The sequence below is a fragment of the Homo sapiens genome, chromosome 16 (genome assembly GCF_000001405.40).
Source record: "Homo sapiens chromosome 16, GRCh38.p14 Primary Assembly".
Classification (NCBI taxonomy): Eukaryota; Metazoa; Chordata; class Mammalia; order Primates; family Hominidae; genus Homo; species Homo sapiens.
In genome coordinates, this window is record NC_000016.10 from 13,473,696 (window position 1) to 13,497,525 (window position 23,830).

The 23,830-nt window shown below is 41.4% G+C and overlaps 1 protein-coding gene across 3 annotated transcripts in view; it reads left to right on the forward strand.

The window, feature by feature from the left end:
* Window positions 1-23,830, forward strand: part of SHISA9 (shisa family member 9) — a 661,420-nt gene that overhangs the window by 572,098 nt on the left and 65,492 nt on the right. For 2 of the 3 annotated variants that reach the window (XR_932915.3, XR_007064905.1), the window contains exon 5: window positions 515-646. Coding sequence is in view for 1 of the 3 variants with exons in the window: in XM_011522642.3 (XP_011520944.1) it covers window positions 515-553 (39 nt within the window). In the remaining 2 variants the exon portion in view is untranslated. Of the gene's footprint in view, window positions 1-514; window positions 957-23,830 lie in introns of those variants that run through there. The other variant, XM_011522642.3, reaches the window with a different exon arrangement.

The following is a 23,830-nucleotide window of genomic DNA, read 5'->3' on the forward strand; positions in this document are numbered from 1 at the left end:
CTAGGTAATAAAACTCTTATATTGTTCAGGGAAGCAATTTTCCTCAGCTAAGTCTTACCTCTCTGGACTTCAGTAAATCTAGTAGTAGCCACAGGAAAGTTGTTTGTTTGTGTGTGTTCTTTTTTAAATAACACAGCTATTCTTGCATCTGATTTTTTACTGTTTGGAATTTGGATGCAATGCCTGGAGATGCAACATCATTCTTGCAACCAGAAGCACATATATGATACATATTGTGTAATACCAGATAGTGCTATTTATATACAGTAAGAAATGAATGTGCCACTGCCTGATGCTGTGCAATGTGCAGTATATGTGGCCATACTCAGAAGCCCTAACAAGAAGGATGAAGATGCAGGAAGATAGAAGGGCCCTGGGTGTGAGCACTAGACTGACTTCTTGCTGTGTGAGAAAAAAATACCCCTTGCCTGTTTAAATCATTTTTTTCTTGGTTTCTGTTACTTGCAGCTGAGCATAATCTTGACTTACATCCCTCTTCTTCTTTCCTCTACAGGTAACAGAATATTGGCATGTAGCACTCCTCAAAACATAGAAAGCAGAAACAAATCAATTCTGCCTGGAGGACCTCCCCGATCTCAACACCCAGTGGTTTTGACAGAATTGATATAGAAATAGAAGCTTCAAGGTGGGAACTTTTTATTTAATGCAAAGTAATATACGATTTAAGAAACTATATTTGTTGCATGTTATGTATGTGTCAGATAGTGGGTTAAGAAGTGCTTTACATGAATTATACCGTTTAATCTTCAAAACTACAGTAAGATGCAGGGATTGATATATTTATCCAACCAATATTTATGAATTATTAGAACTGTTCTAGGTACTGTGGACCTAGCCATGAATTACAAGGTACTTTCTATCCATGGAGTTACAGCCTGGTGAGGGAGACCTGTAACATCAAACAAATAAATAAAATAAAAATAGAAGACTGTGAACAAATCTCTGAAGATTATTAAATCATCTGATGTGATAAAGATAGTGACTATTTTAGAGCAGCTCACTGGGGAAGGCCTCTCTGAGGAGGTGCCTTTTAAGGTAAGAAGTCTGAATGACAAGAATAAGACAACCATGTGAAAATCAGGGCATTTCAGGCAGGGGTTACAGTGAGTGCAAAAGGCCTTGAATTGAAAAGATCGTGGTGAGTTGAAGGAACAGCAAAAAGGTCCTGTGTGTTTGGGGAGTGAAGATGAAAGGGGATGAAGCTGTAGGTACTGGTAGGGGGACAGTCATAAACGACTGGGTAAACCAAGCTCAGGAGTTTTATTCCATTCTAAGAGGAGTGCTGTGATTTGTTTTATATTTTACAAAATCAATCTGGCTGTTCTTTAGTGAATAAATAGATTATGGGTAGGGGAAAAGAATGAAAGTAAGAAAATGAATTAGGAAGCTTTGCAGCCATTCAGAAGATGAAAGGACTTGGCTGGGATGGAGTGATAGGAAAGATGAAGGGATGGAGATGAATTTGGACTGTGTTTTGGAGGTGGAGTTCTCAGAGCTTATTTAGGGATTGGCTTACAGGCGATGAGAAAAAGGAATCAAGGATTGATGTTAGGGTTTTGCCTAAGGAATTATCCCCATGTCAAAAATGAGGAAACATATATATGCTTAATATATATCACATATATATGTTTCACATATATATTTATATATATATGAAACAATTATATATGAAAGAGATTATGAAGTTTGCCAAAGGTCATACAGGTATCCCATGACTTTCATTTATTATGTATTTATTTATTCATTTGACAAATATGTGTCAGGCATAGCAGAAATAGGAGTGATCAAGACAGTAATGGTCACTCATGGAATTGAAACCAACTCAATAGTCCCATAGACCAATAGTCCCCAACCTTTTATGGCACCAGGGACCGGTTTCATGGAAGACAATTTTTCCACAAACCCAGGTTGTTGGGGGATGGTTTGGGATGATTCAAGCATATCACATTTATTGCGGATTTTATTTCTATTATGATAACATTGCAATATATAATGAAATAATTATACAACTCACCACAATGTAGAATCAGTGAGAGTCCTGACCTTGTTTTCCTGCAACTAGACAGTCCCATATGGTCACGATGGGAGACACTGACAGATCATCAGGTGTTAGATTTTCATAAGGAACAGGCAACCTAGATCCCTCATATGTGCAGTTCACAATAGGGTTCGTGCTCCTATGAGAATTGAATGTTGCTGCTGATCTGGCAGGAGGCAGAGCTCAGGTAGTAATGCCAGCTATGGGGAGCAGCTGTAAATAAAGATGAAGCTTTGCTTGCCCACTGCTCACCTCCTGCTGTGTGGCCCATTTCCTAACAGGCTACAGACTACCACCCGTCTGCAGCCTGAGGGTTGGGGGAGACCCCTGCCATTGACAGTTTGTTTTTTTTCCTCCCAGTAAACATAGAAATTGACCCTTCTGGTCTTAAAGCTTGAAGCTTACATTTGTTTTATCAGAGTTCCTTCCTCAGGAAAGGATCCCCACTCCCCTGCCCCAGACTTTCAAAAAGTATCAAAGAGCTGAAACTCACCAGATCATCACATCCAGGCAATGAGAAGCCAGACCACTTATTCATCCTGATTGCTTCCTTACCCCTCCCAAGTTACATTTCCTTCCTGCTATATAAACCCCTAATTTTAGTCTGTTAGGGAGATGGATTTGAGACTAAGCTCCCATCTCCTCAGCTGCAGCACCCAATTAAAGTCTTCTTCCTTAGCAATAACCATTGTCCCAGTGATTGGCTTTCTGTACAGAGAGTAACAGGACCTAGACTGAACCCCTGGTGTTTGAGAGGATATTTTACTGCATTATTAAAGTGCTTAGGAGGATTTGAAATTCAAAGTCAGTCATGGTAAGTCAAAGTTCATACTTTGGCTTATGTGGTGTTTGATGGAATTTCCTGCTGTTTGAAAGGGGACACCCAGGGATCAGGACTCTACAGACCCTCCCTCCCATCCCACTTAGCCCCTCTTGTTCTTTGACTGAATTTTGTCATTCAGCCTCAAGCACGCCTGTTTTGTGTTTTTTTTTTTTTTTTTTTTTTTTTTTTGAGACGGAGTCTCGCTCTGTCGCCCAGGCTGGAGTGCAGTGGCGTGATCTCGGCTCACTGCAAGCTCCGCCTCCCTGGTTTACGCCATTCTCCTGCCTCAGCCTCCCGAGTAGCTGGGACTACAGGCGCCCACCACCACACCCAGCTAATTTTTTGTATTTTTTAGTAGAGACGGGGTTTCACTGTGTCCAGGATGGTCTCGATCTCCTGACCTCATTATCTGCCCGCCTCGGCCTCCCAAACTTGGGATTACAGGCGTGAGCCACTGCGCCCAGCCTTTTTTTCTTTTGAACAATGTTCTTACGTGGTCCACCAGTGATTACTGCAGGAGTCTTGGTAAACACTTATTGCATACCTACAAGGTGTCAGGAACTGGACTTGTCGCTGGAGAAATAAAAAATGAGTAATAGATCTCCCTGTCTACAAGGACCCCATTGTCTAGTTGGAAAATATAATCATAAACAATTATTTCAATGCAGTAGACTTAGGGCTGTGATAGAGGCACAGGACATTGTTGGGTCACATGGGAAGGTACCTTACACAGACTGGGCAAAAGTTATTAGAAAAGCTCTCTCAGAGAAAGTGATAGAGAAAAAGGAAAAGGAAATGGATTTTGCCATGCAAAAGGAAAGAAAAAGAATTCTAAGGCAGACAGAGCAATCCATATAAAATCACAGAGGCTTGAAACAACATGGCAAGTGCAGGGAACTATGATGTGTTTGGACCATAAAGTGAAAAAGGTGGTGGGGGGAGGTGAGCCTGGAGAAAGAGATCCCAACCTGGCCCCAAAGGCAAGTCATTTCAAAGCCTCTTTGCACCACACATTTTCTCTCTCCTTTCCTTCTTCCACAAACAAAACGAAAGTATTTCCCAATGCAGAATGCCAACTGAAATGTGCACTTCAAAGGCTATATTGGGCCAGGCGCGATGGCTCATGCCTGTAATCCCAGCATTTTGGGAGGCCGAGGCAGGTGGATCACTTGAGGTCAGCAGTTCAAGACCAGCCTGACCAACATGGTAAAACCCCTTCTCTATTAAAAATACAAAACTTAGCCAGGCATGGTGGTGTGCACCTATAATCTCAGCTACTTGGGAGGCTGAGGCAGGAGAATGGCCCGAACCCGGGAGGTGGAGGTTGCAGTGAGCTGAGATCACACCATTGCACTGCAGCCTGGGAAACAGAGCGAGACTCCATCTCAGAAAATAAGTAAAATGAACAAAAGACTAGACTGTGTTGGTTTTCTCTCCCTCTTATTTTCTGGGGACCTGCTACATTCTGATCATGGATCCTGTTTTGTTTGAGCGACATCGCATTTTCCTCTGAAATCCTTTCTGTCTCTCTTCCATCCGGTTGTTTCTTTAACTGAAAAAGGAACCTGCCGGGGAAACATGTTGGGGTCTTGACGGCATCTCATGTCTGTGTATATTTCAAAACACATAAAAGAGATCCTGAGTCACTGAGGGGCATCCTCCTGTTTCTTATGCTTTCTGTTTCAAAGATTGTCTCCAAAGCTCACCTCTTAGTGCTGAGAGTTTTGGGCTTCTTTATGGAATTGTCTGGAATCTTAAGAAAAAAATATACACTTGCAAATCAGTGCTGTGTTCACAAAGCAAAAGATCACACCCTAAGAACCAGGCTTTCCCTGTTGTTTAGGTCAAATCCCTTTTGACCTAATTCTTAGGGTCCTATAAGTCTGGACTCCTCTGGGCCAGACTTGAACTCTATAGTTTACCCCCTAGAAACACTGGACTTCCTTGTGCATCAGTTCCTGCAGCTGTAAAATGCAAGCATTGAACTAGATCATCCTGGAAGGTCTGTTCCACTCTAATAGTCTAGGATTTTGTAAAAAATTTATTTATGATTTAGTTAGTACTTCTGCCAAACATATTCCATAAACCTTCACCCAGCTTTTGAAAAACAACAGATCTTTCTGGATTTCATCTTCTTACATGAGTATTACTAAGCCTTTCTACATCGGTACAGGCTAGATAATTGGAAAAGAAAGGGTGTTAAGAATGCGGGCTCGAAGGCTGGACTTGGATCTAATGAATCCTAATATCTGGGAGTGGTGCTTGGGGACCTGTACTCAATAAGCCACCTGGGCGATTCTGATCCACCATTAGTGCATCTGATGTTTCTGCAGGTAACACATTGTATTAGTGTCCTATTGCTGCTGTGGAATATTACCATAAACTTTGTGTCTTAAAACAACACAAGTCTGTCATGTTTACAGGTCTGTGTCTGTTTAGAAGTTCTAAATTATTTTCATGGGGTGAAAATAAAGGTGTCATCATGGCCTCCTACTGGAAGAATCCCATTCCTTGCCTTTTCCAGCTTCTAACAGCTGCTTATATTCCTCGGCTTATGGTCCTGCACGGCGCCTATCAGTTTCCTTTGTCTCGTCCCTTTCACTGACTCTGAATCTAACTCTCCAGCTTCCCTCTTTTAAGGGCCCCTGTGATTACTGTGAGCCCTCTTGGATAATCCAAGATAATCTCCCTGTCTCAAGATTCTTAACTCCATCATGTCTGCAAAGCCACTTTTGCCATGTAGGTAGCATATTCATAGGTCTGGGTATTAAGGTAAAGACATGCTTTGGATGCCCTTATTCAGCCTATATCCCATACTGCCTTGATTTTGCTGAGGCTGATACAAGGGGCCCCAGAATTTGTTGCTGCAAATTTTCTTTTATAAAATCCAATAAACTGACTCTAGGAGATGTCACTGAAACACTTGCTAAAAATAATCTATATTCCACCAGGTAATCTGCAATCACCTGCATCATTTAGAACCCTCCATTTCATCATGCAATTAATTTATACATATATATATATACTTTCATTATTCACCTGTTAACTCCATAACATGCTAATCACGAGCTAGTTTGCAGCAGTTATATTCCCTTCCTCACGGCTGCATGAGGATGCGATTAATTGGAAAACAGGGAGACCAGAGACATGACCAGAAATGACGTCATGCATCCCATGCCATCGCAATACAATTGTCAGGTTCACTGGTGGTTTGGTAAAGCTGGTTCAGTTCTATTCCCTTTGTCAGGGATTCCCATGTGTGTGAAAATTGGACCAACAGTGGTGGGGTTCCATTTCCTGGTTCCATTTCCTATGTTCTTCTCAGAAGATAGAATAGCGTCTGTTAAGACAAGATGGCTTAGGAGGCGGACTGACCTGAATTCACGTTCTGCCTTGGCCACTTACTAGCTGCATTGGTTTTGGCATATTACTTAACCTCTCTGTGCCTCAGTTTTATAATCTGAAAAATGGGATCTCATAGCTATTAACTAACAGCAAAGACTAGACCCCTAGGCCTACCTCTTCTCACTCCTGCACCCATGTTTTGCTTGGTGTGCGGTGTAGTGGGCTTTTTTATTCTCTAAAATACCTTAATTTTTGTTTTGAGCCTCAATTCTAACATGCAGAGAAAACAAGGCTTGGGCTGTTTAGGGTTTTTATTCTCTCTTTTCTCAAGGGGTTGAGGCCAAGTTCTGGGGCATGTGGAGTGACATCATGCCGAAGACGTCATTAGCAGTCGGTGCCAGCTCCTCCTGAGAACTGCTCTGTTTCATCTGGTCAAAACCAGGACCACTCCAGGCCTCGGTCACTCTTGGCCTCTCTTGAATACAGGAAATATTTGGTAGTTCTTTCTCTAGGCTTGGGGAACAGGGAGAGAATGCACTCCCCACTGTGTCAGCGTGCACCTTGCTGGTCACTCAGAACCTTGAGGTTCCTGGCACATCTATCTCAGAACAATTGGTCAGGGCAACCCCACTTCCATTTTTCCTCTGCTATTCCCTGATGACACAGGAAGGGGCATGCTAGGGTCTTGCCATTTTTCACCTGTGCTTTTTCTACCACACAATGTTTTGCACCCTCTGAAGCAAACCCTATCAGCCTCTCATCCAAGCTGCTTTGGAAGCTTTCTTTCATAGGCAGCCAGAGATAAGGGGCTGAGAATGGCGCAAGAAAACACCAAGAGTAGAGCTCCTAAAACCAGTGATCCCTTTGCTAGAAGACAAGCTATATGTGAGTCCATCCCCTGCAAATCACTCCTTGGCAGAAGAAACTCAGAAGGCGGTGGAGGGGTTGTAGACAGGATAAAACACTTATGTTTAATTGCCTTGGGAGGGTCAGAAACAAGTCTGTTCAGTTTTGTCAAGCTAATTTGTTAGAAAAGAATGTGCTCAGCATATAAACAAAAGCCTTTTTTCTATAAGCAATTAGGAACCACCCTAATCTTACTCATTTAAACACACACCCAACCACAAAGCTGGAAAGACACCAAAGAGTTGGAAAGACACCAGAGTTGGGGCTGACCAACCGCTTTTGCTAAGCCTCAAACCTTTGCAATTAAAGACTGATCTTCCTTTCTGAAAAGCTTGTCTTTGCGAACCTCTGAGCGTTGATTTCCAATTTGTTTTTGGCCAGGCAGTATTCTCTGTGTACTTTATTTACATGATTTAGAATTTTCATGACATTCTTGCATTTTTTCCCATCACCCAAGTATTTATCATATTTATCATTTCTATATGTTGGGTACATTGAAGGTCTTCTAGCTATTTGGAAAAAGTACAACTCATTTTGTTAACTATAGTCACTCTGCTGTGCTAGCAAACGTTACAACGTACTCCTTCCATCTGACTGTATGTTTTACTCATTCACTTTTAACTTTAGCAGTGATGGTGTCAGGCTGTCCTCAACCATGCTGTAGAGGTGCATCCCCTCTGCTTCCACCACAGCCTCCTCTCCTTTCTCCGTCTCACATTCACACGCTGTTTTGTAACTGACAGCTTATGTGTCTCTGCCCTGTAAACACTGTGAGACCAGTCTTATGTCTACCACTGTGTCCTCAGTGCCTTGTACCATGCCCGGCACATAGAGGCTACTGGGTAAATTATTGTTGAGCAAATGAATGAATGAATGAGTGAATGCCTTCTCTGGGAGGGAAGGTCAAAGGTGTCAGAGGTCATTGCCACAGTGATGAGGATCTGCAAATCTGCAAAGCAAATAACACTGAAAATGGAAGCTATCTTTCCCCCAAATTTCTATGAAATTGAATTTCAAAATTGAAGTGGAAATGAATCACAAGATGGTAGATATCTCATTAAGAGAGATCTCATTAAGAGAACTCATACATACTTTGATTGAATAATCAGGGCCAATGTTTTCTGAACACTTATTACATGCCAACCACTGACACAGCACTCTTTACATGCATTCCTTCCTCCATTGGGTACTTGAGCTGAATGTCTTCCACTGGCCCTTCCAGATCCGCATCTGTGCTTTTTCCATCCCTGCCCTGGTGCTGGAATGCTAACCTGTAGAGACTGACTAGGTCCTCTTGCTCTCCAGCTTCTAGATGGATTCAACCATTGGGAGGCATCAGCAGAAGTCAGAGAAGAGGGTAAAATGCAGTCCGGCTATTTAGTCTGTTGGCTGTTTCCCTGCCAAGTCACCATGGGTGATTTAACTGTATCTACTGAAGACCACAGTGCCTGTCTTGCAGCCTTCTCCATACAATTACCTTTTCTGGATGCCAGTAACCACCTCTTCCTCTTGCCCTTGCAGGCTTAGAGACGTATCAGCTGCCTTCTGTTATTACCCCAGCGGTATTCACCATGCCATGTGGGTTTCCTTAAATCCTGTCACCCTTTTCTCATAACAACAGTTATGTCATTAATAGCTCCATTTTAAAGAGAGGACACTAAGTCTTAAAGAGATTAAGAGACACTTCGAGGCCAGGTGTGGTGGCTCATGCCTGTAATCCTAGCACTTTGGGAGGCTGAGGCAGGAGGATCACTGGAGCCCAGGAGTTCAAGACCAGCCTGAGCAACATGGCAAGACCCCATCTCTACAGAAAAGTAAAAAATTTAGCTTGGCGTGGTGGCACATGCCTGTAGTCCCAGCTACTCAGAAGGCTGAGGCAGGAGAACCACTTGTGCCCAGGAAGTCAAGGCTGCAATGAGCCCTTTTCATGCCACTGCATTCCAGCCTTGGCAACAGAGCAAGATCCTGTCACTAAAAAAAAAAAAAAAAGAGAGAGAGAGACGTGTCCAAGGTCACCGAGTCAGTAGGAGCAGATCCTCCAACCTAGATCTGTCTAACTCTACTGCTAATGCTTCCCTTCTGTGATATTTAAGGTGAGAGTGTGGCTGGTGCCCCAAGGCTGAGATGTAACTCGGAGAAAAACTAACTGGAGCAATGTTTACTGGGAGCCAAGAGCAGAATTCTCATTTCAGACCTCCGCTTCCACAGATGGGCACTTAGAGTTTGGCTCTGAGGGGTGGTGGTGGTTCACAGAGAGTTCAAACCCCATCACAGACACATGTGGGTGAATAAAGTGTCAGGGTCTTTGCTTTTTCCAAGTGCCTGATACAGGCTTGCAGATGCGTGGGGGTGTGAACAAGAGAGCCTCAAGTGGATTTCACTCTTGGATGTAGCCTATAAATATGTATGTTGGGCACCATGAATCATTTAGGGCTGGATTGGTTGCAGTTTTTCATTTTTTAAGGGATGGTTTCATGACTCAGAGATACTGGCATGCACCCCCAAGGTCAGAGTGGATCCGAACACTTTACAGAAATTGGAAGGAAACAAAATATTTGCTGCCTAGCTTTATTCTGAGAACTTTTTCTAAGTTTAAAAACATACAAGGGAGCAGAGAACGGGTCACAAATGAGCTTCATTCAGGGTTGTGGTGTTTTGATATATATATTTTACTGGATTTTGACCACAATCCATGGCTCATAGCTTCCATAGCCTTTTTCCAGTCTTTTATTAGAATGTCAGGTGTGCCAGGCCTCAGGAAACAGAAGCTCGCTGACTTTCCCCAGCCCTCCTCTCCCTCTAATCCTTCCCCGGTCTTTCTGATTGTGGGTCTTAAGACCACCCATCCCCAGAGAGAGTCCTGCTTTATATCCTGGCGAAAGGAATGTTGAGGTCATGAATCTTCCCTAAAAACACAAGAGAACTGGGTCCAGAGATCTTCTGGATAACTGAACATGTAGAGGTTTCTGAAGGGTGGTCCCCAGGGAGAGCATGGAAGCTCTGTGTCCCTTCTCCCATACCTCACCCTACACATCTCTTCATTTGGATCCTTTGCAATATCTTTTACAATAAACTGATAAATGCATTTCCCTGAGTTCTGTGAGATGCTCCAGTAAATTAGTTAGATTCAAGGAGGGATTCTTGGGAACCCCAGTTTGAAGCCAGTCAGAAATTTCAGAGGCCTGGGCTCACGACTGGTGTCTGGGGTAGGGGTGAGGGGGCAGTCTTGGTAACTGAGCCGTCAATCAGTGGCATCTGATGCTATCTCCAGGCAGATAGTGTAAGAATCAAATTAGAGGACACCCAGCTGGTATTCCCTGCTTGGCGTGTGGAGGAAAAAAACCCATATATTTGGTCACAGAAGCCTTCCATGTTGATGATTGTTGTTGTGGTAGTGTGAGACTAGAGGAGAAACATAGTTTGAGAGTTTTTCCGAAACAAGTGTGATAAAAGCTTTGGAAATTGTATAGCTTTTATAATTTTTTTCACCCCTTGTACAATTGTAACTTCACCTCTCCGAGCCTCGGTTCCCACATCAGCACAATGGGCATAAGAGCTCAATGAGATGTGTGCCTCTACAGCACCAGTACAGGACATGGACTTCACATGCATAACTGGTGGTCTTCCTCCTCTTCCTCTCAAGTAGCTCCAACTCACAGCCAAATCTGAGTGCCTAGCATGCTTCCAGCCAGCCCTCAGAAATTAGCAGTTGTTAATTGGTGAATGTTGCCTCTCTGGCTGTATAGTAAGTGTATTAGTCCGTTCTCACATTGCTGTAAAAAACTACCTGAGACTGGGTAATTTATAAAGAAAAGAGATTTAATTGGCTCACAGTGTGGCAGGTTGTACAGGAAGCATGGTTGGGGAGGCCTCAGAAAACTTACAATCATGGTGGAAGGTGAAGAGGAAGGAGACAGCTCTTACATGGCTGGATGAGCAGGAAGCGTGGGGAAGAGTTGCTATACACTTTTAAACAACCAGATCTCCGGAGAACTCACCTGCTATCACAAGAACAGCAGCAAGGGGGACGTCCACTCCCATGATCCAATCACCTCCCACCAGGTTTCTCCTCCAACACTGGGGCCTATAATTCGACATGAGATTTGGGCAGGGACACAGAGGCAGACCATATCAGTAAGCTCCTGCATGGTATGTGTATCAGTCAAGTGATGCTGCAGTAACAACACTAAGCCTCTTGTTCTTTTTTTTTTTTAACTTTAAGTTCTGGGATACATATGCAGAATGTGCATGTTTGTTACATAGGTATGAATGTGCCATGGTGGTTTGCTGCACCTATCAACCCGTCATCTAGGTTTAAGCCCCACATGCATTAGGTATGTGTCCTAATGCTTTCCCTCCCCTTGCCCCGCACCCCCCGACAGGCCCTGGTGTGTGATCTTCCCCTCCCTGTGTCCATGTGTTCTCATTGGTCAACTCCCACTTATGAGTGAGAACATGCAGTGTTTGGTTTTCTGTTCCTGTGTTAGTTTGCTGAGAAGGATGGCTTCTAGCTTCATCCGTGTCCCTGCAAAGGACATGAGCTCATTCTTTTTTATGGGTGCATGGTATTCCACGGTGTATATATGCCACATTTTCTTTATCCAGTCTATCATTGAGGGTAAGCCCTTGTTCTCATACCATATTGCTTCCCTTTTTCCTTTTTTATTGATATATAACAATTGTACATATTTTGAGGGTACTTGTGATATATTTTGAGGGTACTTGTGATATTTCAATACCTGTATAAAATGTGTAATTATCAAATGAGGGTAAATAGAACATTCATCACCTCAAACTTTTATCTGTTCTTTGTGTTGAGAACATTTCAATTCTTCTCTTCTAGGTATTTTGAAATATACAATAAGTTATTGTTAACTCTAATTTCCCTTTGTGCTATCAAATGCTAAAACATATTGCTTCTGTGTTTTTGTACCCCTTAACCAACTTTTCTTCATCTCTCCACACTGCCTTTTCTTCCCAGCCTCTGGTAACCAGCATTCTACTCTCTATCTCTATGAGATCCACTTTTTAAGCTCCAGTATATGAGTGAGAATCTGAGATGTTTATCTCTCTTTACCTGACTTACTTCATGTAACATAATGACCTTTGGTTCCATTCATATTGCTGCAAATGACAGAATTTTGTTATTTTTTATGGTTGAATAATATTCTATTGTTTCACTCCCATACTGTCTGCCTAGACACCCTTTCTCCACGTCATCCAGAGGGTTACCCTAGAGGCTTCCATGTTAGAAACAGGGGACCCCATTCCTGCACGGAGTTGATTCCAGATGGTTCATGGATGGGCATCTGATCCAGGCAGAATCCTTCCCTGAGAATGGGGATCTAGAACTCAGAAAGAGACTTGGAACATGTTGGTATGTATGTATGCTTTCACATGGACCAGCGAAATGGTGAAAGCTAGACTGGGTAGAGAGATTGAAAATAAAACAGCCATTAAGATAGGAGAAGGATTGAGAGAAGAGATTTTCATGAGAGCACTCAGAAGTCCTTGATTCCAATTAGACCTGAGGCCCAGCCACATTACTGTCTTGGCTTCCAAGAATAATCCTAGTACCCTACTTCTCTGAAAATCCTTCGGTTTCTGTCACTTGCAACCAAGAGTCAGCATCCAGGTGGCAGACTGACATCTATCAACTTGGTTTAACTTATTATTTTGAAATAATTTTAGACTTCTCGCCAACACATTTTTACTCCATATCATTTCTGATTTGTTTTTGCTCACTTATAAAATGGAAAGAAATATTTTCTGGAACCATTCTTTTTTTTAGTAGAATGCATATAAAAATCTACTCTAGAGCCTAGCATAGCAAATGCTTAGTGGGGATCTGCAATAATCCTCTCTATACCTTCTTTCTCTTTTTATTTTCTTTGAGATGGATTTTTGCTCTTGTTGCCCAGGCTGGAGTGCAATGGCATGATCTCAGCTCACCGCAAACTCCATCTCCCAGGTTCAAGTGATTCTCCTGCCTCAGCCTCCAGAGTAACTGGGATTACAGGCATGCGCCACCGCACCCAGCTAATTTTGTATTTTTAGTAGAGATGAGGTTTCTCCATGTTAGTCAGGCTGGTCATGAACTCCCGACCTCAGGTGATCCACCTGCCTTGGCCTCCCAAAGTGCTGGGATTACAAGCGTGAGCCACCGCACTCAGCCCACTTCTTTCCCTTAAAGATATTTGCTTCTTGGTTCTGCACCAGGCTAGGCTAAGTAGTTGCCAGCCCATTTTTCTGGTTCCTTTCCTGAATGAATGGTTTCCACCTCTTTCTTCATTGCTTGTACAGTCATCCCTTGCTATCTGAGAGGGATTTGTTCCAGGACCCTGGCAGATACCAAAATCTGCAGATGCTCAAGTTGCATATGTGAAATGACATAATATTTGCATATAACCTATACATATCTCTGTGTGTTAGGCCGTTCTTGCATTGCTACAGAGAAATACCCGAGACTCGGTAATTTATAAAGAAAAGAGCTTTAATTGGCTCACAGTTCTGTAGGGCGTACAGGAAGCATCACATAAGCATCTGCTTCTGGCGAGGCCTCAGGAAGCTTACAATCATGGCAGAAAATGAAGAGGGAGCAGTTGTCTCACGTGGTGGGAGCAGGAAGGAGGCAGGGGCTGCCACACACTTTTAAATGACCAGATCTTTCAAGAACTCAGACAGAGAACTCATTTATCACCAAGGGGACGGCCCAAGCCTTTCATGACGGATCTGCCCCCATGATCCAAAAAGCTGCCACCAGACCCCACCTCCAACATTTGGGATTATAATTCAACATGAGATTTGGGTGGGACATCCAAACTTTATCACTCCATATACTTTAAATCATCTCTAGATTACTTATAATACTAACATAATGTAAATGCTATGTAAATAGATACTATACTGCATTGTTTTTAAGTTTCCATTATTTTCATTGTTATATTGTTATCTGTTTTTTCCGGATATTTGCTACTGTGGTTGGTTGAATCTGCAACATGTAACCCTTGGATACAGAGGACTAGCTCCATGTGCATTTGGGCCAAGACAGTTTGGGTTGGGCCAATGCAATTATTTGGGAAAGTGCTGGATGGCAGGGACACTTTGGAATCAGAAAGGAGAATCTCTTTTAAAGCAAGGGATCTCACTCAATGAGACAAAAGAGAACTTTTAACAAGGTCAATACTTGAACTTGACTATATCCAAAGTAGTAAATGCTAGTGCTCATTCAAACCCTTTCATCTGATGTTTCAGGAAGATAATGGACCACCAGGGGGGTTTGTTAGCCAGTGAACTTGGCCTCCACAGTCATCCTTCCCCACTCTTTCCACCTGAGCCCCTAATGGCTTTACCTCCCGACCATTCTTCCCCCCAGATTAAATATATATGGTCAAAGGATATCAAAATTCCTCAAAATGCAAAAAAAAAAAAAGGAATTAGTTATAATTTTATGTCAAAGAATGTGAAATGTCTATTTAAGGACAGTGTTTTAGTTATTAATTATGAACTGTTATTGACCCACTGTCATACTTCAACATAAATGCTGCATTTTTCTGTGTCATCTGGGAAGCTTTCATATGAAGTCTTCTTTATTCTCATGACTAATAGCTGATCCTATAAGTACCCTCTTACATATACATTACTGTTGCATATACAATATTCCCATAAGATTATAGTATTCTCTTTTTACTGTACTGTTTCTATGTTTGGATATGTCTAGATACACAAATACTTACCATTGTTACAGCTGCCTACAGTATTTCATATGGCAACATGCTGTACAGATTTGTAGTCTAGGAGTAATAGGCTGTACCATATATCCTGAGTATGTAGTAGGTGATATCATCTAAGTTTGTGTATGTAAAAGTTACAGTGTTTGCACAATGATCCAATCACCTAACAATGCATTCTTATTTATTTATTTATTTTTAATTTTAATTTTTATTTTTTGGAGACGGAGTCTCACTCTGTTGCCCAGGCTGGAGTGCAGTGGCGCGATCTCAGCTCACTGCAAGCTCCGCCTCCCGGGCTCACGCCATTCTCCTGCCTCAGCCTCCTGAGTAGCTGGGACTACAGGCGCCTGCCACCGCGCCTGCCACCACGCCTGGCTAATTTTTTGTATTTTTACTAGAGACGGGGTTTCACCACGTGAGCCAGGATGGTCTCGGTCTCCTGAACTCGTGATCTGCCCGCCTCGGCCTCCCAAAGTGCTGGGATTACAGGCTTATTTTTTTTGAGACAGAGTTTCACTCTTGCCACCTAGGCTGGAGTATAATGGCACTATCTCAGCTCACTACAACCTCCACCTCCTGGGTTCAAGCGATTCTCCTGCCTAGGCCTCCTGAAGTAGCTGGGATTACAAGCGCATGCCACCACACCCGGCTAATTTTTTTGTATTTTTAGTTGAAGCAGGGTCTCACCATGTTGGCCAGCCTGGTCTTGAATTCCTGACCTCAGGTGATCCACCCACCTCAGTCTCTCAAAGTGCTGGGATTACAGGTATGAGCCACTGTGCCCTGCCTAACGATGCATTCTTTAGACTTGTATCTCTGTTGTTAAGCGATGTATGACTGTGTGTGTATATATTTTTTTTCTCACTTGATCCCTGATATGGCTTGGCTGTGTCTCAACTCAAATCTCATCTTGAATTGTAGCTCCCATAATTCCCACGTGTTGTGAGAGGGATCCAGTGGGAGATAATTGAATCATGGGTGCAGTTCCCCCATACTGTTCTCATGGTAGTGAATAAGTCTCATGAGATCTGATGATGTTATAAGTGGTTTCCCCTTTCACTTGGCTCTCATTCATTCCTTGCCTTCCACCATGATTGTGAGACATCCCCAGCCATGTGGAACTGTGAGTCAATTAAACCTGTTTCCTTTATAAATTACCCAGTCTCAGGTATGTCTTTACTAGCACCGTGAGAGCAAACAAATACAATCCCCCGTGAATGCTATGAGATAGATTCTATTATCTTCATTACATAAATGGGGAAACTGAGGCACAGAGTGGTTAAGTAACATTCCCAAGGTCACAGTGCAGGTAAGTAGCAGATCTGGGATTGGAACAAGGAAGTCAGACTCCAGAGCCTACATATGTACACCATTGCCTGTGTTGACACTGCAGTGGACAGTGTAAAAAGAGGCATGCATGGGATACCAGGGGTCTGGTTAAATCAAATGAAATTGGCAATATTCAACCACTTTAACCTAAAAGATGTCAATTTCATATGGTAGGAACATAGTAGACATACAAGATAGTAAGTCAAAAAGGGCATCCCTGGGAGATGTTTGGCTGCAGCTGAGTTTGTGAAGATAAAGAGGCAAAGAAAGTTTAGGAACAGATGATGTTGGCAGAAGCCATAGCAGGAGCAGTTACGAGGGCATGGAAGAGCACAACACAATATGCTGACTGGAATGTTGGGTGTTTGTCGAACAATGGTGGGAAATGAGGGCCGGGCACAGTGACGCACACCTGTAATCCCAGCACTTTGGGAGGCTGAGGCGGGTGGATTGCCTGAGACCAGCCTGGGTGACATGGACAGACCCTATCTCTACAAAACAAACAAACAAACAAAAACAGAAAAATTAGCCAGGTGTGGTGGTGTGCACCTGTAGTCTCAGCTCCTTGGGAGGATGAGGTGGGAAGATCACTTGAGCCCGTGAGGTCAAGGCTGCAGTGAGCCATGATTGTGCCACTGCACCCCAGCCTGGGCAACAGAGCAAGAGCCTGTCTCAAACATACATAAAGCAAATGAGGACAGAACCTGAAGCCCCTTTGGGTAAACTGAGTCTGAGTCTTTCCTCTGGAAACGACAGGCTTTCTGATTCTCTGCCCAATTTTCTTCTTGGTGCAATGTATGTATTGATCCACTCGAGCTCTTTGGGATGTTCTGTGTCTTCTTCCCTTCTGTAGTGTGCCAGGCAAAGCACTTAGCACTTAGAAGGTGCTGATCGGCCAACTGACTGCTGATGATAATATTACATGTCAGAGAAACCAACCAAAGGTTAACTTTATTTCAAACAGGTTGTAATATATTCTCTGCTTTTCACTATTTGGGAGAGGGAAATGTTCTTATTTTTTCTTTAATTATAAAGGCCCTTTTAAGTTTTCCTGTGGAAGCAGCCCTAAAATCAAAGGCTGTATTGCTGCAAGATGTATATTGAAGTTCAGGTTCAACTAATTGGTGTTAAGCACTTATAATACACCCAATACTTTCATGTAACTATGTTCACTGAATCTTAAAAACCCTGAAAAATAGGCTCTATTGTCTCCATTCTTTACATAAAGAAACTGAGAAAGATGCATTAACAGACTTGCTCATAAACGGTGAAGTCAGAATTTGAACTCTGCTCTCTTTGTTCTTTGCCATGGCTTTTCCCTCTACAAAGATGCTACTGGGAATCCATTGGTGATAATGACGATGACGATGATGATGATGGTAACGAGGATGACGGTGCCAGTAGCCACAAAACTAGAAAACACTGATTACCATGTTGTGTAACAGAAATTGTCCTAAGCACCTCAAGGAATAATTATTTACTTTTCAGAGCCTTTTTTTTTTTTTTTTAACCTTTTGGAGACTTTCCTGATGGTGAAACTGAGGCTAACAAGTGTCAAGTAACCTGTTGAGATTACGTAGCTTACTCATAAGAGGGCTGGATTTTTTGTTGGTATTGAGACTGAATCTCACTCTGTCACCAAGGCTGGAGTGAAGTGGCACCATCTCAGCTCCTACAACCTCCACCTCTAGGGTTCAAGCAATTATTCTCACTCAGCCTCCCAAGTAGCTAGGATTACAGGTGCACGCCAGCAGGCCTGGTTCATTTTTTTGTATTCTTAGTAGAGTCGGGGTTTCATCATATTGGCCAGGCTGGTCTCAAACTCCTGATCTCAAGAGATCCACCCGCCTCGACCTCCCAAAGTGCTGGGATTATAAGCATGAGCCACTGCACCTGGCCTGGGATTTTTAAATATTTATTTATTGACCTTTTTTTTTTTTTTTTTTTTTTTTTTTTTTTTTTTTTTTTAGAGATAGGGGTCTCTCTATGTTGCCCAGGCTGTTCTTGAACTCCTGGGCTCAAGCAATCCTCCTGCCTCAGCCTCCCAAAGTACTGAGATAACAAGCATGAGCCACCATGTCTAGCTAAGGGCTGGGATTTTAAACCAGAGCTAGTGACCTTTTGAATAGAAGTATCTGCCTGTTTTAGATTCCAGACCCCACCTTTGTCCCTACCCACCTCACTCCTCCTGCACCAAGAAGGAAGAACAAAGAAAACCTTCCCTTGGAGCATCAGGCAAGGCTCTCTGTTCCGGTGTCACCATGATAACCAGCCCTAGTCAATTTCCTCACAAGGAAGGGAAAAGTAAATGTCAAATACAGCTTCCCCAGCAACATTCTGTGGGCGAGCACTGGGGAAAATGTGCTGGAGCCTCTGTGTTCTCACTTAAATAAGGTGAATCACTCCTGGAATTGGAGCTGGGAAGCAGGCCATGTTCCTAAACAGGTGAGGTTAACGGTGTTCTTGGAGAGCCTCTGGGTCACTTTGAAAATTAATCCTTTTTACTTCAGAATCTGAGCTCCTAAATGAGCAGATTAGAAATCAAAGCGGGGAAACAAATGGGTGTTCTTGGCAAGGGATTTTTAGAACATTACAGCATGCTTTTTAGGCTGACATCATCTTATCTCACCTCTACTGCCCACCTTTTGTTGAGGTCTTGTCTGTTTGAAGACTGTCGGCTGCCAAAAGCATGTAGACTCCAAGAAGCCAGGGCCATGTAAGCCATTCACCACTGTATCCACAGTATCTAACATAGCACCTGACTCAGAGTGGGAAACTTACTAATTATTGTTCAACTAATGGACTGATTGCAGCTATCACAAACAATACTTTGGTTGGGGCAAAATGCTTTTGTTTCCAATATTTGATCATTTAAAGCAGAATGTTTTGACCTTTCTGGCAGGAGACATTTAAGCTGAGATTTGAATGACAAGAAACAGCGAGTTATATGAATATGAAGAAAGAGCATTGCAGGGTAAAGGAATAGCAGGTTCTGGGGTTGGAAGGAGTTTAGTATGTTTGAGAAACAGCCAGAGGCCTCTGTGGCTAGAGAGAAGTGGAGAATGAACAGAGTGTGCAGAGATGAGATTGGAGAGATAGAAAGGGCCAGCTCCTGCTGCAAGAGGATAGATCTGAATTATTTTTCTAAGTGTTATGTAAAGCTATTGGAGAGTTTTAAGGGGGAAAAGTGGAGGAGAAGGGAATGTGTCATTCACTCTGTGTCCCTATTGCTTGGCACATAACAGGTGCTCAGAAACTGGATGAATGAGCTGAGATAATGCATATCAAGTGCTTTTGAAACAATGAAGTGTTTCAGAAATGACACTCATCATCAGTTGGAGGAGAATAAGACACTGCCCCCAATACCATTCTTTTAGATCACAAAGCTATTACAGATTTCTGGGTAATGAGGGTGGAAATCTAGAGGCACCTGATTTTTTACAGTGCCTTATTTCTGTTAAAATAATTTCAAACCACACCAAGATGCAGGATTGCAATAGCACTGGCCAGACTCCAGACAAAATTCCCGTGAAGAATTCACTCTTGGCTACCTGAGGCAGAACAGCGAGGTCAGGAAGGGAAAAGGTAATGGTTTTTCATGACCCCTGATATCTGAGACACACGGGGCTCTGATAGGTAGGAGGTACGTTCTAATGAGGTCATGGCTCTTTTATTGACCCAATGCCCCAAATACTGTGTTTCTTACTACTTTTCACTTGGAGACTGTGATGGCTGGAGTTGTGACATGGTGGAGGATGCAACAGAAAGAGAAAACAGTGGATGCTTATTGCAACCTGAGAGCCAAGATGTGAGAACTAAGTGGGAGGAATGAAGAAGAGAGAAGGAGTGGTAGAAACAGTGTTCCCTGGGTAAGATTTCATTCACCTCTATGTGCTAAGTGCTTTGCCTGGCATATTATAGAAGGGAAGAAGACACAGAAGGTCTCAAAGGGTTTGAGTGGATCAATACATACATTACACCAGGAATATAATTGGGCAGAGAATCAGAAGAGCTCATAGATCCCAGAGGAAAGTTCCAGACTCAGTTTACCCCAAGGGCCTTCAGGTTCTGGTCTCTGGTCTGGAGATTCTGATGGCTGGAGTTGTGACATGGTGGAGGATGCAACAAAAAGAGTAAACAGTGGATGTTTATTGGAACCTGAGATGCAAGATGTGAGAACTGAAGCGGGAAGAAAGAAGGATAGAGAAATAGTGGTAGGAACAGTGTACTCTGAGTAAGATTTAATGCACTGGTGCTGATGAGACAAGAGCTAGACACATGTTAAACAATCCATGAATAAATTCCCTTTGTATCATCAGTGGGGCAACTATTTCTCCTCTGCCCACACTCAAAACATAGCCAGCAGGCTTCAGAAGTCTGTCCAACAGCAGAATAGATTAATCAGCCTTTCATCAAAGGTCTGAGGGATGAGGATGCAACAGGATACAGGTGAACAATTGGGGACACTAAAGAACCCCAGAAACCCAAAACTCCACCCAATGTGTTGATAGACAAACACCAAGACTGCCTAAATGTTTTATCTTTAAAAAGAAGGAAAAAATTAAAACAAAAAACCAACAACCTGGAATCTGAGAAACAACTTCCAATCATAAATGAAAAGGAACGTTGCACTCAAAATGCATAGAAAGTACACACATTTTAAAGAATTCGTTATGAGAAAGAGAAGAAAATTCTACAAGGCATCTGGTATGCTGCCAGTAAAATTAAAGAAAACATGAACTTATAGGGGAATGGTTAAATGAATTGAGATACATCCATATGGCAGAATATTTTACAGCCATTATAAACCATGTTTTCAGAAACTAAATAATGACGTAGAAATATGCTTACAATAGAACGCTATATTTTAAAAGGGGGATTTAAAACCAGTGAATACCAGAAAATCCCTATCTGTGCATGAATGTTCATAGAAGCTTTATTCACGATAGCAAAAAACTGAGAACAACCCAAATGTCCTTTAATAGGTCAATGGTTATATAAACTCTGTTCTGTCTATACATTGATACATGCAACACCCTGCATGAATGTCCAGGACGTTGCGCCTTGCAAAATAAGTCAATCTGACAAGATTACATACTGTATGATTGCATTTATGTAACATTCTTGAAACGACAAAGCTATACAGAGGAGACATATTATTAGTTGTTGCCAAGGTATAAAGACGGGGTGGAAATATAAAGGGGTAACATGGGGTACCTTTATGATGATGACATAGCTCTGTATTTTGAGTGTAGTCGTGATTCCATGAATCTCTATATGGGATAAAATTGCACAGAATGATACACATATGCACACATGTGGTAATACATGCATGTAAAAATTGGTGAAAACTGAGTAAGATCTGTAGTGTAGAAAACAGTATTTTAGTAGTGGTCAATTTCCTAGTTTTGATATTCTGCTAAAGTTACACAGGATGGTACCTGAGGAAGCTAGGTGAAATAGACATTAAACTCTATGTCGTATTTTCGCAATTTCCTATAATTATTTCAAAATAAAAATTAAGAAAGATAATATATACCAAAGAATCCCAATTTCATTTAAGAACTATAAAGAAAGAAATCCAAATTTTGACTAGAAGAAAATACTCCATTATATTGGCAGTGACTTTTCTTTTCTGGTTAATGGGATAATGGTCATTTTTATATTCTTCTATGTATTATTCTGTACTTCCAAAACTTTCTGCAGTAATATATGTTACTTTTGTAATCTGAAAAGAACTTATCATTTCTGATTTTAAATATTTGGTGAATGTAAAAAGTAAACATTTAAAGGAAAAAGTATATAATAATATTATAAAAGAGAATTGAGAAAAAGAAGGGCAAAAAAGAAAATGACTTGGTAAGATATGAAAACATGGCAAGGAAATACAAAATGTAATAGCAAAGTTAAATCTACATTGAAACAGTACAAAACACTTTAGAAACTAAACCGATGGTATGTAGGACAAACACACAAACCCTGCCCAGAATGCTGAGTCAAAGATCAAAGACATGAAATAGAGACAAAATAAAAGATGTGGAGAACCAAACATAAAGATTCAGCATACCACTAGCTGGTGTTTCTAAAAAAGCTATCCTAAAAAATGGGACAAAAGCAATAATCACAGAGACAAAATAGCAAAACACTGTCCAGATTTATGGATGACCTGAATTTGTAATGCAAATAGATACACTAAATGCCACTGTCTGGAAATATACATGATAAGGTTTCAGCATTTCAAAGATCAACTTTTATATTCTGCATGTAGCCAGGCAGAAAACAAAACAAAACAACTCAAAAAATGTTTTACCTGGAAAGATGAAAACATCAAACTAGTCTCATTTTTTTTCCTCCATAACATCAAGTTTTGAGAAGGAAAGATTATGACCTAAGCATCTCTACCAAATTTCCAAGTTGTTATAATAATAATAAGGTAATGAGGTAATCATAATTGCTACTTATGATTAAGTAACAATAAGGCACTTGATAACTCAACCGTCATAACTAATTAAAATTTAGTACAACTAGAATAAGATGAAAGTGTCTCAAAATAATTATTTAGCCATCTCAAGTCAATGGTCAACATTATATAAAGAGAGTTTTCATTTATTAATAAGATAAGGAAACCACTATTATTTATTACCATTATGGATTTTCTAGTAAATCCAATAGGTCATGAGAAAAAAAAATAAGGAAGTTCATCACTGCTTCCATAAGATACGATTGCTTACTTAGAAACAAAATGAGCTGGAAAAAAATTGGAAACAATAATTATCGTCTGGAGGTGATGAGTTACAAAATCAGTATGTCTACATTTTTCCTGTGTAGTATTTGACATAAAGCAATTAGAAAATACAAAAAAAATCCATGCAGAGTAGAAATAATAGAAATAAAAACAAAACATCCAGAACTAAAGGTTAAAATACACACACACGATCTTGGCCAAGAGATGAAGATATATCAGTGTCTATCTATATATAAAGATTTGAAGAGCTCAATATGCCATTTTCCTAAATAGGAAAATTTAGTATTATTAAAATGTCACTTCTTCCAAAGTTAATTAATGCGTTTAATTCAATGCTAACCAGAATTCTAAAAAGGATTGCTTCAAAGCTTAATACAATTATTCTGAAGTTAATTTGAAAATATAAGCAGATGAGACTGATCAAGAGATATGAGGAAAAACAGGGCAAGTAAAAGGAACATCTTGTCCTGCCAGATATTACAATTTTTGTTGTTATTCATCTTTTTTTAAATTTTATTTTTAATTGACAAATAATAATTGTATATATTTATGGGGTACAGTGTGATACTTTGATACATGTTTACGATGTGGAATGATTAAATCTGTCTAACAAATAATTGTATATATTTATGGGGTACAGTGTGACATTTTGATACATGTTTACAATGTGGAATGATTAAATCTGTCCAACAAATATCTGTCTACCAAATCTGTCTAAAAGCAACCCAGGTATCCATCATCATATGAATCAATAAAGAAAAGGAGAGGGGCCGGATGTGGTGGCTCACACCTGTAATCCCAGCACTTTGGGAGGCCGAGGCAGGAGGATCACGAGGTCAGGAGTTTGAGACCAGCCTGGCCAGCATGGTGAAACCCCATCTCTACAACAA